Genomic DNA, 15614 nt, shown 5'->3' on the forward strand with positions numbered 1-15614 from the left:
AATTTTCATATGTGGAATTATTGGATCAAAGAGGACACTTTTAAATGGTCAATATTATCAATATATTAATTGCAGTTGCTTTCCAAAGGAGTAGTACCATTTTATACTCCTTCTCTCATTGTGTGATAATAAGTTTCTCCTTACTATCTTCATCAGCATTGGATTTTCGTTTGGACATTTTTTGCTTATGCAACAGGCAAAGTTCTTTTGAAAAAAAAATGTAACACCCACTATCTATTGAATTCACCCAATAATCTTATGAAGTCAACAGTTTACAGATGAATAGATACTGAGATGATTAATTGATTTGCTCAAGTTCATATAACTATTATCAGAGCTGGACCTTGATCTTGCTTCTTCTGAATCCGGCCCTGTTGTGTGTTTCCACTCTACCACAGCTGTCCACTACATAACAGGAAGGGCAGAGGCTAATGAGCCCTTCAAGATAAGCTTGAAGAAGCTCAGTGGTTGGTGTGTATCAAGGTGGAATAGATGAGCAGGACTGGAGAGTAAAATGTCCAAATGGCTTTGTTTCTTAAAAACCAAACATTTCCTCAAAAAGAGTGAATAATTTTGATTAATTTATACATGCTGTTTCACTCATCCACATGTACATTAAAAAGGTTTAAAAAGAAAAAAAAGTATGTTATTTAATGGTGGCTTGGTGTTGGAATATTTTAACTAAATTCAGATATATATGAGTAACTCCAGTTGGAAGTTGTTCATGCATATCTGAAAGCAGAATGTGGCCTTTTGACTTTAGCCTATTAAACAAAAGAAAATTCATAGTTAAAATTCCACTCTCAGCTCCCCAGCCAAGATGGGAATGGCCCCAGCCATAAAACATGATGGACAAGGCTGCCACCAGGCCCAATAATCTGTTGGCATTATAGAGTAGGGTAGGCAAACCACAGTAAATCAAGGCCTCGCCTTCATTTTTCAAAAAGCCGAATGGATTAAAAGTGTGTGCGTCATTCTTTACCGTGAGAAGGCAGACAGGTTTTGCAACAAGCTAGAGGATGGTGTGTGGAGTAAATAACAAATGCCTCTTGGTCGGAGGCTGTTTGATCGCTTCAGGTGTCCATGTGGAGGGTCATCTTGAGAAAGGGACTTGGGACTATGTGCTTTCTTATTCTTTGCAGGGATGAAAAAGAGGAAAACCCAGTTTGGAGGCCATAGTCTGTAAAATGGCAGGATCTGCCAGCTTTGGCACCACAGAGTGTGGCTTTGGGCAGAGCAGTTTGTGCTTCCATTTATCTGGAGTTTCCTGGTGTGTAGAAGCCCCACCCCTGAGCACAGCAGGAGGTTGAATAATGAGGATTGGCAAAACTCAGGGATGTGCTCACCTCCCTAGATTATGAAATCCCATTGTCTAATCAGACCATCCCATAATGGACATTAAAAACAAACAAACAAACAAACAAAAAAAACAACAAACCAAGAGTATTTATTTTTCAAAGAGATGATTGTGACCGTGGATGGCAGAAATAATGTCTTGTTAAAATGACTCAATTCCTTTTAGGTAATTGCAAGGGCGGCTGGTTTCTTCAAGCATTCAGATGAGCTCCTCTAGAAGCTTTTCACAGGGCAACGAAACTGCTTTGGTGCCTCCTTCAGGGCTAAGACCATGATTTGGATTCACCCTGCCTTAAAGGAGAAAAGTTGGAAGCAGCAGGAGGCATCTGTAGAGAAGTGGTGAAGTGAACATCTCTCTAGGTCCCTTGTTTTGTAACCAGATTTTAATCAGTGAAGAATTCTGAAAAAATAACAGAAAGCAGTTTGGAAGCAGCTTTCATTACAAAACTGTATAGTCATGTCTCCAAGCCACCAAAGTATTTTATAGCCATTTGCCCGAAATGTCAGAGTAAATAAGCATATCGTCCAGAGCGCTGCCTGGAACCAGAGTCTCGTTTTGTTGGAGGCATTAGGGGAAAGGCAAGGGAGCTCAGCTCCAGGGGTATTGCGCCCTAGTCTAGTCTAAATGGCTCTTCTCTCTGACGTGACTGGAGTGTTTTCTGTCACCTCTAAACATTGCCTGCAGTGATAACATTCATTCCCCAGGCTCAGGCCCCCTGTAACAGTCAGGAATGTGCGGAAGAAGCCAGAGTGGGACAAGATGGCTGCCCTGCCCAGCCCGCTGCTGGCCGGATGTGGAGCTGGGAGGAGCTGACTCTCATTTTGCCCCCTGTTGTCTTTGGAAGGCTTTCGTTTGGGTTTTGAGTGGGTGGTCCCTTAGGTCTCCTACTACATTCCAAATATTTCCAAAACGTTCTGAGAAATGGTGGTGCAACTAAATGAACATACTCTCCTGACTAATGTGGGAAGCTGATTGGGGCTGGCAGTTCCTCCTTCACATCCCCCACTTTGGTTGACACATAGAGTGTGTCAATCTGAAGTTCTAAGATTCTGGGTACAGGTTTTTTTTTTTTTAATTTTACAGCCCCTTATGGTTTAATGCTCAGTGGTTTCCAGGCTTTTTGGATGGCTCACTGGATTCAGTAAAAGGTTTTTAAGCAGATACTCCCAATACTTGTTATTTGTAAATTATATATATGTTATATGTACTATTGAACTAACATATTATAGTAATTAAAAACAGGGAAAATGTTAAAGAATGAAGCAAAGAGTTCGGGGTGGTGGCTCACGCCTGTAATCCCAGCATTTTGGGAGGTCGAGGTGGGTGGATCACTTGAGGTCAGGAGTTGGAGACCAGCCTGTCCAACATGGCGAAACCCCATCTCTACTAAAAATACAAAAATTAGCTGGGTGTGGTGGTGCAGGCCTGTAATCCCAGCTACTTGGGAGGCTGAGGCAGGAGAATTGCTTGAACCTGGGAGGCGGAGGTTGCAGTGAGCCGAGATCACACCACTGCACTCCAGCCTGGGTGGCACAGCAAGACTCTGTCTCAAAAAACAAAAAACGAAAAAGAATGAAGAAAAGATGAAATAATATTATTTTATTGATGGTACAAAACCCCCTTTTGCTTTTTGCTTTCCTATTAAGGTTCTATACGCATTTTATATTTATATGTAACTGAACTGAATATGCTTCATTTGAAAAGTTTGATATAACACTTTGTGATACAATTCAAAAGTCTGCTTCTAAGATCAGTCTATTTTGATACCTGGCTTTAGTGATTCTCATGGCTAAAACAATACTACAGCGATAATGCAAGAAGGGCATAATTGGCTGTAACTGCTAAGTTAGACTCACTTTTTTACCCACATCCACCAGCTATGCAAAGGTTCTGTTGAAAGTTTACCAATACATTTTCATCTGCCTTGGGTCAATCAACAGTTCTTATATTCTAATCAAAGTGCTTCCCATTGACCAAACCCAGAGAAAGTCAGAAGGCAAAGAAGTCTGATTGATGCACCATTTTTACATAGATAAGTAGAGACAGAGATAGACAGATAAAGATATATTCAGTGTTCTCTGAAATTGTACATTTGAAAGATTTTTAAATAATTTAGAAAAACCCCACTTCTCAGTTTTTTTACACTTTATTTTTATTGAGGTAAAATACACATTTAAAATTTACCATCTTTACTATTTTTAAGTGTACAGTTCAGTGGTAATAAACACATTTATATTCTTGTTTTCCCTTTCATCTCTCCCTCTTCCCTATCTTTCCTGGTCTCTGGCGATCATCCACTTTTTTAGCTCCCACATTAGTGAGAACATGTGATATTTGTCTGTCTGTGCTTGGCTTATTTCACTTAACATAATGGCCTCCAGTTCCATCCATGTTGCTGCAAATGACAGGATTTTATTCTTTTTTATGGCTGAATAATATTCCATTGTATATATATACCACATTTTCTTTATCCATTCATCCATTGATGGACTCTTAGGTTGAACCCATATCTTGGCTATTGTGAATAGTGCTGCAATAAACATGGGAGTGGAGATATTCTTTCAATATATTGATTTCCACCCTTTTTTTTGGACATAAATATATGTCCAAAGCTCTCTGAAACTGTACATTTAAAAGGTTTTTTGTTTGTTCATATAAGAGATGATCTTGCTGTGTCACCAGACTGGAGTGCAGTGATGCAATCATAGTTCATTGCAGCCTCGATCACCTGGGCTCAAGCAATTCTCCCACTTCAGCCTCCCAAGTAACTGTGACTACAGGCAAGCACCACCATATTCAGCTAAATTTAAAATTTTTTGTAGAGTCTGGGTCTCACTTTATTGCCCAGGCTTGTCTTGAACTCCTGGACTCAAGTGATTCTCCCACCTTGGCATCCCAAAGTGCTAGGATTACAGGTGTGAGCTAATGTGCCCAGCCTACATTTAAAATATTTTAAAATAATGTAGAAAAATTCCATTTCTCAGTTTTCGACACATGTACGTATTAGAATTTTTAATAACGGTAACACTGTTTTCAGAACCAACATTTCTCAATGGTGGAAACAATTCTAAATATCCACCTTCAAAGTGTTCTCTCCATAGCATACATTTCTTTTGTCAAAGCAGTCAGTTTCTCATTCATTAGTTACAATTCAGTACCTTCATTTTTGCAGAGCTGTTAGGTTGCATATTCCAACAGCTTCTTGTCACCATGGAAATCTTTGAAAATACTTTTTACATAGTAATGTGACAGAAAGGGGCTCACCCGATAAGCCATTTTGGTTTATTTCTGCTAGGTAGGATTACATTTTAGGAACAGCTCAGGCAAATAGTGAGGGAAACAAGTGGATCCATCTAAGTCCCTGTAAGTAACACCTGGTGCACTGGGGTGGGGTGACTGAAGAAGGGTTGAATAAAGGCAGTTACAAAGACATGTGCGCAGTTCAGAGAAACCAGCAGTGATAGGGAAGCAATAGCAGGGGCCCTTCCTGCTTTCTCCTAAGCCTGAAGGGGTAAGGAGAGGATGCTGTGATCCAAGCCCAGGGAGAGAACTGGAGCTCTAGGAGTGGGGGCATGGACTGCAGCTGTGACTCTGGTAGAGGGATTATATTAGTTTGTTCAGGTACCATAACAGAATCGCACAGATGTGATAACTTAAGCAACAGAGATCTATGTCCTCACAAGTCCAAGATGCAGGTGCTGGCAGGGCTGGTTTCTTCTAAGGCCTCTCTCCTTCCAGTCTTCACATGGTTTTTCCTCTGTGCCTGCATCTGTGTCCAAATTTCCTCTTCTTATAAGGCCACCGGTCATATTGGATTAGGGTCCCACCTAATGATCTCATTTTAACTTAATTACCTCCTTTAAGGTCCCATCTTTAAATACAGTTACATTATGAAGTACTAGGGGTTAGGAATTGAACATATTAATTTGGGGGGACTTAATTCAGCCCATGACATGGACACTGCCAACCTGTGGCCCACAGGGAGGAAGTGTTAATTGATCTTTGCTCTAGCCCACCTGGCAGCCTACTGGTCTGCCAGCATCTCTCATTGGCCAAACCAGATGGAAGTCAGAGGCAAGTAAGCTTGTTTAATGCCACCCTTGAAGGTCAGTCTCTTGAGATATAGACAGCAGAAAAGAGTAATCTGCAGGAGCAGAGAGTTTCCAGCTCACAAAGTCACTGAGCTGAACTTAGAACACAGAGATTTCATGACAGGCTTATAAATGATTTAATGTAGCAAGAGGGAAAGAAGTAATGATCAGAATGAGCCAGGGTGTTTGGTTTTGTGGATTGCACAAGAGATGCTAATATCAGGGAACTGCTGTTACTAGGCTCAGCATTGCAGTGACAATTTGAATCTCTCGTATGGTGCTAGTCCTTGTGAGAATTAGAAAAAGGCATCCCCTATGGGCAGACAAACGAGAAAACATTGCCTTCTGCTGGACCAAGCAGTCTTTTTGGTATACAGCTTTTGGTGAGCAACCTGTTCATCCTACCCAGCCAAACACGCACTGTATGACCCTGTCAGTGCCCCTTACCATGGGCTCAGCTGGAAGGCCCACACTCTGCCAGTCCATTCTTTCCAGCCCCTAGCAGGAACAACTTGAGGACAAATTTTGATGTTGTGCCTGCTATAGTCTGCAAACTGCCAGCCTCCTAGTTCCACATGGAAAAAAAAATCATTAAGCCATGAAAAAATTCAAATCTATCACTGGCTGTCTTATTAAATCATTCAAGCACCTTGTGCTGGCAGTTTCTGGTTGATCTGAACTTAAGTTTTTGGTGGATCTTCCACCTAAAGGGAGTAATTAATGTTAATTTAGATCATTGTTCCTTGTTAGCACTTCTGGGAACCCCATTTTGAGAGTTTAGAATTATTAGCAAAAATGAATATAAGCATTGGCTATAAGCATTGGATTTTTTTCATCCATCGAACAGACTGCAGCTTACGGTGAGAAAGCCACACACTGCACAACTCTGGGGGCGCCATTCACGTAGTCATTGTACATTTGTATGGGCTTTCTGACAATTTTCTAGCAGATGGCAGTAAAGACTTCTAAGAATAGTGTGCCTCCTCCATCCCCAGTTGATCTAAAGTTGCAGTTTGAGTAAGTGGTAGGTTAGGTATCCATGTGTGTGAGGCACTAGGAGTGGGGCTGGGGAAAGGAAAGGACCCAGTGAAGACAAAGGCGTGATCCCCATTTCTCAGTACAGTGGAGGAGGGAGACATATGGGCACCCCCTTATGAAGCCTCAGCTTCAGAATAATACCCAGATGCACTCCTTCCATCTGGCCCACCCTATCTGGTTCTGTGATGAGGTGTGAATGAGGAGAACATTCCACCACCCCACTCAGGCAGTGGCAACATTGGGCTATTAAAGCTATTCTTCAGGCTCGAAGGGCCAAGACTCTGAGAGACCCATGATAGCCACTGCCAGGCCAGGAGAGGGAGAGTTGCAGAGGCCCAGGGGACTGGGGTGGACGGTGAGCACGTGGCAGGCCCCGGAGCAGCATGGTTGGTTCCCCAGCTGCCATGGCTGTCTTTTGAAGCCACTGGAACAATACTCAATGCACCAGAGCCCCCGTAACCATGAACTGCATCCTTGCTTAGCTAAACCTAGTTTCCTTTTTTAAGGAGAAAGGAGGGGAGCTCTTTCGCAGTATCCACAAAGCCAATACAACTACACATGGGAAGCCACTTATATCCCTGCTACCCTAAGCCCAGCTCCCCACTGCCCATGAGGACTAACTCCCTCTCAGCTGCATTCCTCGGGCTCTCTGCTAGTCTTTGCCAATACTCATCCTCTAACCAATGGGCTCTTCCTACTCTTCTTTTTATGACAGATGCAGCAAAGAGGTCATTAGATAAGGATTCTTTTACTTGAGAATAGGATTCTGACCCTCCATGCATGAAGAGCTTGTGGCAGATACTAGATTGCAGTAAGATGAGGTGGAATGGAAGGTGGGCACATGGAGACAAATGGGGTTGGCAGCACTGACCAATGGTGCAGAGGGCCAATTGGAGGACAAAACAGATGAGATGAATTAGTTTGGGGAATTCACACTTCCCCATGACCACAAGGTTGAAGCTCTTTTCATTCTCAAAAACTCAAAGGCATTTATCTTAGAAATTTAAGAATTAACTCATGGTTAATGAGATGCTTCAACTGGTGAGGATAAGTCTCTGTGCTCTGTGAGGCGCTTTTCTTGGGAGGCACTTGAAAAATACCTGGGAAGATCCAGAGGCTGCTGCATTTGAGTTTCTGCAGGAAGCTGGATTTGTGGCCTCAAAGATAGTAACTCACTGCTGACATCTTAGAAATATCACTGTTTCCTTAATTTAATACATGCCAAAGTTGGTGGCTGAGAGATTGTATCTTACAAGCCTATTACCAGCCGATTTACTAGGCCTTCGGGAACAACTTTGGAAAGAGGATGTTAATCAAGCGTTCATTTTATCTTCTTTTTCTCCTACACTTTTTACTTTTTCTTCCTTATATTATTTTCTCACTTACCTCCCTAAGTCTTTCTTTTCTACTTCCTTTCTCTCCTTTATGTCACCCTCTCATTACTTCTCTTTATATTTTTTTCAGATTTTACACTTCCACACCCTTCCTGCCCTTCAACTCTGTTTCAAACTTTTAGCACATTCTATATGACAGTGAGACATAAGCAGACTTCATGAGGCAAATTTATGGCATCACAAAAGGTCTCTTCTTGTGGAGGGTACTTGCTCTCTTATGGCAGAATTACTTCTGTTCTTTAACATGTGGTTCCCTTTTGCTTCTGGGCAGAGAGTAGGAGAAGAACCAACTTGCTCACCCCTCCAAACTCCCACACAGAGCAAGGTATCAGAGCCTGAGCAGGGTGAGCTGGGCTAAGGCATTTGCATGGCAAAGTGGGTGGTGCCAGCAATGGGAGATTGGTTGCACACAGGGGGACTGAGCAATGAGTAAGTGTATTAGCCCATTCTCACATTGCTGTAAAGAACTACCTGAGACTGGGCAGTTTATAAAGAAAAGAGTTTTAATAGACTTACGGTTCTGCATGCATGCTGTACAAGAGGCCTGATAGGAAGGCCTCGGGAAACTTACAATCATGGCAGAAGGCAAAGCAGAAGCAAGCATATGTTCACATGGTGACAGGAGAAAGAGCTACACACCTTTACACAACCAGATCTTGTGAAAACTCACTCACTATCATGAGACCAGCAACGGGGAAGCCCACCCCTATGATCTAATCACCTGCCACCAGGTCCCTCTCTGAACACTGGAGATTACAATTCAACGTGATTTGGGTGGGGACACAGAGCCAAACCATATTAGTAAGTAGATCAAAGATATTGGGAGCCAGGCTTCTTACCATCAGAAAATAATTACAAAAATGGGAAGGGACCAGTCACAGTGACAATCCCAGCATTTTGGGAGGCCGAGGCAGGAGGACTGCTTTGAGTCCAAGAGTTTGAGATTAGCCTGGACAACATAGTGAGACCCTCTCTCTGAAAAATAAAAAATAAATTAGCTGGGTGTGGTGGTATGTGCCTGTAGTCCTAGTTACTTGAGAGGCTGAGGTGGGAGGATTGGTTGAGCCCAGGAAGTGGAGGCTGCAGTGAGCTACATAATGGCACCACTGTACTCAAGCCTGAGTGATATAGTAAGACTCTGTCTCTAAGAGGGGGAAAAAAAAAGGAAAGGGAAAATGAAATCTGTGGTTGAAAATTCATGCTTTCCAATATTTACAGACAAGGTATAAATATGTGTGTGGACATACACATGTGTATACACATACTCCCTAACCCTGTCTACTGACAAGACTTGGGAACAGTGACATGCAAGTAGCAAAGAGTATACCTAGTACCTAAACCTTAGCTTCTAAATGTCATTCTCCATCAAAAGAAACTAGGGCTGACCGGGCGTGGTGACTCATGCCTGTAATCCCAGCAGTTTGGGAGGCCGAGGAGGGTGGATCACTTGAGAACCAGCCTGGCTAACATGGTGAAACCCCGTCTCTACTAAAAATACAAAAATTAGCTGGGCTTGGTGGCGCACGCCTGTAATCCCAGCTACTCAGGAGGCTGAGGCATGAGAATCGCTTGAACCTGGGAGGCAGAGATGGCAGTGAGCTGAGATCATGCCAGGTAACAGGGCTCTTTGGAGAATTCCAGGGCTGGGGCAGGGAAAGTACAAAATAAGCCTGAAACATCTTGTGGTGCCAGTAGGCAAGGCGATGCTTAAAGAATGACAGGGACATGTCTAAAAAATAGACGCTGGCTTGCAGGGCTCCCACGGGCCAAACGGGGGATAACTTGAACATCAAAACAAGTAATGACTGCAACCGATTAGAATCCACTGAGTAAAACAGGAAATTCTGAGTCCATACTTACATAAGGTAAATGAATAAATTAAAAGTTTGAGGACGTTTGGGGTATTTCCATGGTTTCAAAGCACTTCCTCACAACATACTTATTAACTGCAAAGTGTGAAAGGTAACTTTACAGTGGAGATGCCTGGCAGACACCACTTTAATTAAGTGATCAAAGAGAGAGAGTATCATAGGTAATGAAACACAGTGAAATCACTCACGTCCTGACGGGATGCAGTGAGGAGAAAACAGCTTCACTTTGTTGATATTCCTGCCAAAATTGGACCACGCAGAAACTTCAAACAAACCAATCTGAGACACTCTGCAAAATCACAGGCTCATAATCTTCAACTGCGTCAAAGTCATGAAAGTCAAGGAAAGACTGAGGAGCTATTTCAGACTGAGAGAAACTTAAGAGACATGACAATTAATGTGTGAAACTTGACTGGGGTCTGAGGTTTAGTTGGTAGTAATGAGTCGGTGTTGCTTTGATGGTTGTGTTGTGGTCATGTAAGAGAATGTCCTTGTTTTTAGCGGGTAATGGAGCATTTGTTCTGTGATCTGCTCTCAGGTAAATTAGGACACAAGTTCTTTGTATTGTACTTGCAACTTTTGTGTTTCAAAATTTAAAAATATTTCATAAACCAAATGGCATACCCACTTTGGGGAAAAATAGACATTATGAGGTAAACACAAAATTCCCATTAATTTAGAACAAAGCATGAGAATTTCCGGAAATTTTGTTTATGGTGGGCCACACTGGGCTATCTCTGCCTTGCATCCCTGGGGCTCTCTATTCTCTCTCCTCAGCTCTCGAGGGTCCTCTGATGGCAGAATAAAAAAGCGCTATGATTTGTGAGAGCCCTAGGAAGGCTACAGTATTAGGTAATGGAAAGGGTCATCATCTTACCTCCTGACTCACTGGCCAGAGGACGGAGCGACTGCCCAAATCAGACAGCTCAGCGATTCACCTCTGAGCTGCTGCTTTGGGTGGAATGGAAGAAACTGGTTGGTGTCTTAGGTATAACATGAAGTGCTCAGTAAGTGGCAGGAGGACTTGTGGCTTGCATCTCTTTTCCCATGTGAAGGGCCAAATGTGGAAATAAAAGGAGGATACGGAACATTTTTGCTGTTGCAGAGCTGTTTTGTCCTTCAGAGTCATAGCAAAGGGCTCTGTGAGAGGGATGAAGTATATCACCTAAGAACATGTGATGAGATCAGAATACCTATTATGAGTCTATAGCCTACCAGAATCACTATCACGAAACGGTGGCTTGCTGTGCCGCCCTTGACTTTTATGAATGGGTCCTATCTGAAACAGGCTTGGGAAACTGTCATTGTATTGGTGGAGAAATGTGGTGGACACTGCCCAGTAGCCCCTGCAGCAGCCCCTGTACAAAGTGAGTAAATACTATCTTTCTCCAGAGAATCTGGCGGGCTTTATTCTTTTTGACAGTAAGAGCTACAGATGCAAGTTCTTTTCTCCCTTTTCACCTTGGCTGCCAGGAAACATAATTATTGAAGTTTAACTGTAGTGATGGTGGAGAACTTTGGCCTATAGAGCTACATTCTGTGTACTCCTTATGTCTCTTCCCTGTTAATTTATCAAGTCCAGATTTCTACGTTTGTAATTGTGTTTCCTACACAGTTGCCTCAAATCTTCGTAAAATACAGGTTTGTAAAACAAAATAAAACAAAACAAAAAACCCAGATCATTGGAAGAATTAAGTTGAAGGATCCAAAATCTTCTCAATAAAATTGAACTAAATGTTAGGGAGAAAATAACAGTAATGGAAGTTCCTTCACGTATTTCTTAGGAAAAATTGTTGTTCCTGGCTAGGAGGCCAGGAACAATATTTATGGTCTTGAACATGTGTCAAAGACATGAGTTACAAAGTGGATAAAATGGGATTCCTGCCTAGGCTTCCCTGAAGAAAATAACAAATAGTTCTCAAGATATATGAAGGGCATGGGAAAACTATACAGGTGTTTGCAAATCCATAATCTGATGTGTGGAGAACATGTGACCAAGGGTAAAAGAAATCAAAATGACATTACTTGGAAAGTATCCCACACCCTACTTGATTTTTTTTTTTTTAAAGGACAGTTCTTTCTTCTTACACATTCCAGTATTTTCAGAACAGAAGTGACAGCAATGTCAACTCTTTGGACATCTGCTCCAAGTCTCATTCTGGCAAGGGCAGAGCTATCAAAGACTTTGTCTGTCTGCCTGACAATTTCATCTCTCAGAAGGTAGAGGAACCCGTGAGGAAAATGGCTGCTCTCAAGTGAATTCTGATCAGTAAAAAAGGAACTGGTTGGAAATGTGGAAATACTGAGAATCTCAGGAGAGATGTTTTCATTATCTTCGCCCCCTCACAGAACTCCCAAAGCTCTTTATTTAGATCTTTTCTTACTTCTCCTTATAATATTGTCACTTATAGACTTGTGTCTCTAAGATTGTCCCTTGAGGACTGGGACCACATCACATCATCTTTGTGTCTGCCAATGCTTGGGGTAGTTATCTTTTAAACACAAAAAAATCAATCAAATGTGCTTAGTTGGAATATGAGCATAGTGACTTGCATAATTTCAGGATAATGTGACAACATTCTTTAAGAATTTTTTTTCTTGATCATAAAATGTTTTCATTGTTGAAAACTGGAAAAATTATTCAGGGAAGTATAAATGAGAAAATACAAACTTTCTATAATCCTCCCACTTGATAAGCATTTTGAAGTACTTTCTCCTTGTTATTTATTTTTAAGACAGTGTATCTCTCTGTCACACAGGCTACAGTGTAGTGGCGTGAACATAACAGCCACTGCAACCTCAAACTCCTGGGCTCAAGCAATCCTGTCTGAGCCTCCCAAGTGGCTAGGACTACAAGTGTGTGCCATCATGCCAGGCTAATTTTTAAAATTTTCTTGTAGAGATGACTCTTGCTATATTGCCCAGGCTGGTCTCAAACTCGTGGCCTCAATCAATCCCCTGGCCTTGGTTCCCAGTGTTGAGATTACAGGCATAAGCCACTGTGCCCAGCCTCTCCTTGGGTTTTATACTTATTTCATAGTTTTGATCATACTGTATCTACAGGTCTGTTCCTAACACTTTTTATTCACGTTATATCCTAAGCATTTTCCATGTCATTAAAATGTCCTCATTTTAAAATGACTTCATATTATCTTGCATGTCTTTAGCGTAACTACTGTCATTTAAAAAATAAAGCAACATAGGGATTTTCACTGGCTACAAGTTCTAAGAATTGTGGTATGTCTGAGAAGTCAAAAAGGAACCGGCAGGGCAGGGGAGACAGGTGAAGTCCCAAGTTCTTCCTCCGGTTTTGGGTTTTATCCTGAGTCAACTGTGGTACATCTGGAAGGTGAGTTGATGATGTGGAGTGACCAGGGCTGACGAGGAAGAGTTAAAGCTGGAAGGAATGCTCAACCCAGAGAAGAGCAGAGCCATGGAGTCACGTTTCCACACTTGAAGTATGACTGACTGACTCTGTGGCATCCCGGTTGGCAGCACTAAGGCCGGTAAGTGGGAATTTCAAAGCCACAATTTGGACTCCTCTGCAAACAAGTTTGAGAGCTGTTCCCTAAAGCTACCTGATGCCCTGTGAGGCAGGCAGTGCCTGGTCCCTGGAGGTGTTCAAGTAGGGCAGGTGGCTTCAAGGATACTAGAGGATAGGAAATCCCTGCAGTCTGGTTTATGGTCTGGGTCCTGTGTGAGCACTGGAATAGCCTACATCAAATCTTAAGTCTCTCAGAGTCGCATAAAACAACCGAATTCTTTAATTCAAAGCCACGTTTTCAATTCTGAGCAGCCCAGAGACCTGCCATCGCTTTCTCGCGCCGAGTCACGTGGTCTGGCAAGGCGCGCGGTTTCCTCCCTAGCCGCCCCCAGCTGCCCTGAACCTTCAAAGTCACATTTCAGTCACTCCCCAGTCTGACCAACAACGCTCACAATGAGGGCGCTGCCAGCACAGGCGACGGCCTGCGCTCCAGTCTTACGAGGAACCCCAAATTCAAGACCCCTGTGACCCAGGCCTGTGTGCCCCGACAGGCTAAACCTCCGCCCAGGGGCTTCCCGATGTCGGCTGCAGCGGGTCTGGGTTTTCGGCCTGCAGAGCTCGCGTCTGACGGCTGAGGAACAAAACACCCTCCCTCTAGCGGCTCAAGCGCACACACCCTCTTGCCTTCCGCAGCCACCGAGCGAGTCACGGGAGACACTCTGGAGCCATTTTGCGGGGCTGGAATTCCTTCGCCCGGCGGAGCTCGGCGCGCACCCGTCAGCTGTGCCGAGGACCCTGCGCCCGGGGGGCCCCGCGGCCACGTGACCCCCATCTGGCTCTCGGCCTGGACTGAGGGGGCTGAGCTCATCGCGTTGCTATTCGAGGGGCAGAGACTGCCTGGCCTTCCTCAAATCCTGAGCTCCCGGCTCTCCTCCCTCCCCCACCTACTTGACATCTCAGGCTTTTTGTGGAAGGGGCAGGGCGATTGAGAGGTCGGTGACCTTTGTCCCAATGGCGCTGGCTCTTTTCCTTTTTGGCTACCCTAATGGAATGAGGATATAATCAGTCATATCTTAACATTCATTGAGCCCCGGCTCAGGCTGGGAGGCACTGCCTTTCTCCTAGTGAATTTTAAATCAGTATTTGTGGGATTTAAGCTCCAGCGGATAAACCTAGAGCCACTGGCCATGAAGGGTGTGGCAGTGGGGTGAAAAACGGGACTCCCGCCTCCACTCCCTGGCTTTCCTCATTCCAGCCACTATAGAGGGGAAAATACGTAGACCACAGAGCAACGGCCACACCCTCTTTCCTCTCCTCCAACCCCAGAATTCCACTTCAGTCTCAGAGCTTTCAGCTAGGTGGGGTTTATCCCCAAACATGCCACAACCCCTCTAGTTATATGGGAGCGGTAACTGTGAACCACCATCGCTGGCTTGATCCTCCCTTTTCCGTGGATTGGTGCTCCTGAGTATGTTTACCGGTTTCAGTACATAACACAGCCAGATAGAGGGCCGCGGACTTCAGCGGCGAGAAGCTACAACAAAAATAGGGTGAACAAAAACGAAGGTGCCCAGGAGCCTGAATTGCATTTCTTTCTTACCTTTGGTCATAGAAAGGAGCACTTAGGTGTTTGGCTGGAACGCAAAGTGAGACCAGAGCTTACATTCTTAGCAGCCTGGGTTTGTCTCGAGAGGCCATGCTTCTCTCCTCCCTGACATTTTGCTCTCAGAAGCACCAGTTAGCATCAGAGGAATGTTGTTTCCTTCTCTGAAACAGCCATCAAGTACCAGCGATTTCTTGGCTCCGGCAAGTTAAGTGCTCTGACCCCTCCCTTATCTAACTCACCCCGCACACCATCCACATGGCAGGGGACGCAGCCAGAAATGGAGCGGACTGCATCTTTTCCTTGCCCACTCTTTTTATCACCATGACAGAGCCACTGGACACCAGGAAATAAATACTGAACCACCACACTAAAACGTTTACTCCACTTTGGGCAGAAGGAGCCTATTTTGCATATTAAGTGCCTCCTATAAAGCAGTCAAGTGAGGGAAAGAGGAGTTCTCGCTCCTCCGTGAATGCTGCACGGGAGCCTCCAGTCGGGAACAGCTGAACAGGTAGCTCTGAAAGAGGACCTTGGTCATAAACGCATAGATAAGATTATCCCGAGGTTCTCGCCCACATGCTTCCTTACCACAGGTGGGAGGGCTGCTGTTAGGCTGTCTTCCTTGCTGAGCATTGACAAGCAATGAAATAGTTGAGGCGTAGCAGCAAGAAAGGAGGAAGAAAAAGGGCCTGGTTTTTTGGTCTTTAAGAACAGACCACTAGTGGTGTATTTTGGGCTGGATATTTGCTGAGCCGACCGTTGACGTGCTGAGC

The 15614-nt window shown here is 43.9% G+C and overlaps 1 long non-coding RNA gene across 1 annotated transcript, besides 1 other annotated feature; it reads right to left on the bottom strand.

The window, feature by feature from the left end:
• Nucleotides 1-1428: 1428 nt before the first annotated feature.
• Nucleotides 1429-15605, bottom strand: LINC02478 (long intergenic non-protein coding RNA 2478). Its single transcript, NR_103775.1, has 2 exons — nt 15430-15605; nt 1429-1756 (listed from the first exon to the last, which is right to left on the bottom strand). It is a non-coding gene; the product is annotated as a long intergenic non-protein coding RNA 2478 (long non-coding RNA).
• Nucleotides 13813-14422: an enhancer, noted in NCBI's record as "H3K27ac hESC enhancer chr2:161126614-161127223 (GRCh37/hg19 assembly coordinates)". NCBI's record gives its function as "activates a minimal SCP1, AML or CMV promoter by ChIP-STARR-seq in naive H9 embryonic stem cells {active_cell/tissue: H9 hESC(naive)}" and the evidence as "EXISTENCE:reporter gene assay evidence [ECO:0000049][PMID:30033119]".
• Nucleotides 15606-15614: the final 9 nt, after the last annotated feature.

Source organism: Homo sapiens, chromosome 2 (genome assembly GCF_000001405.40).
Source record: "Homo sapiens chromosome 2, GRCh38.p14 Primary Assembly".
NCBI classification, from domain to species: Eukaryota; Metazoa; Chordata; class Mammalia; order Primates; family Hominidae; genus Homo; species Homo sapiens.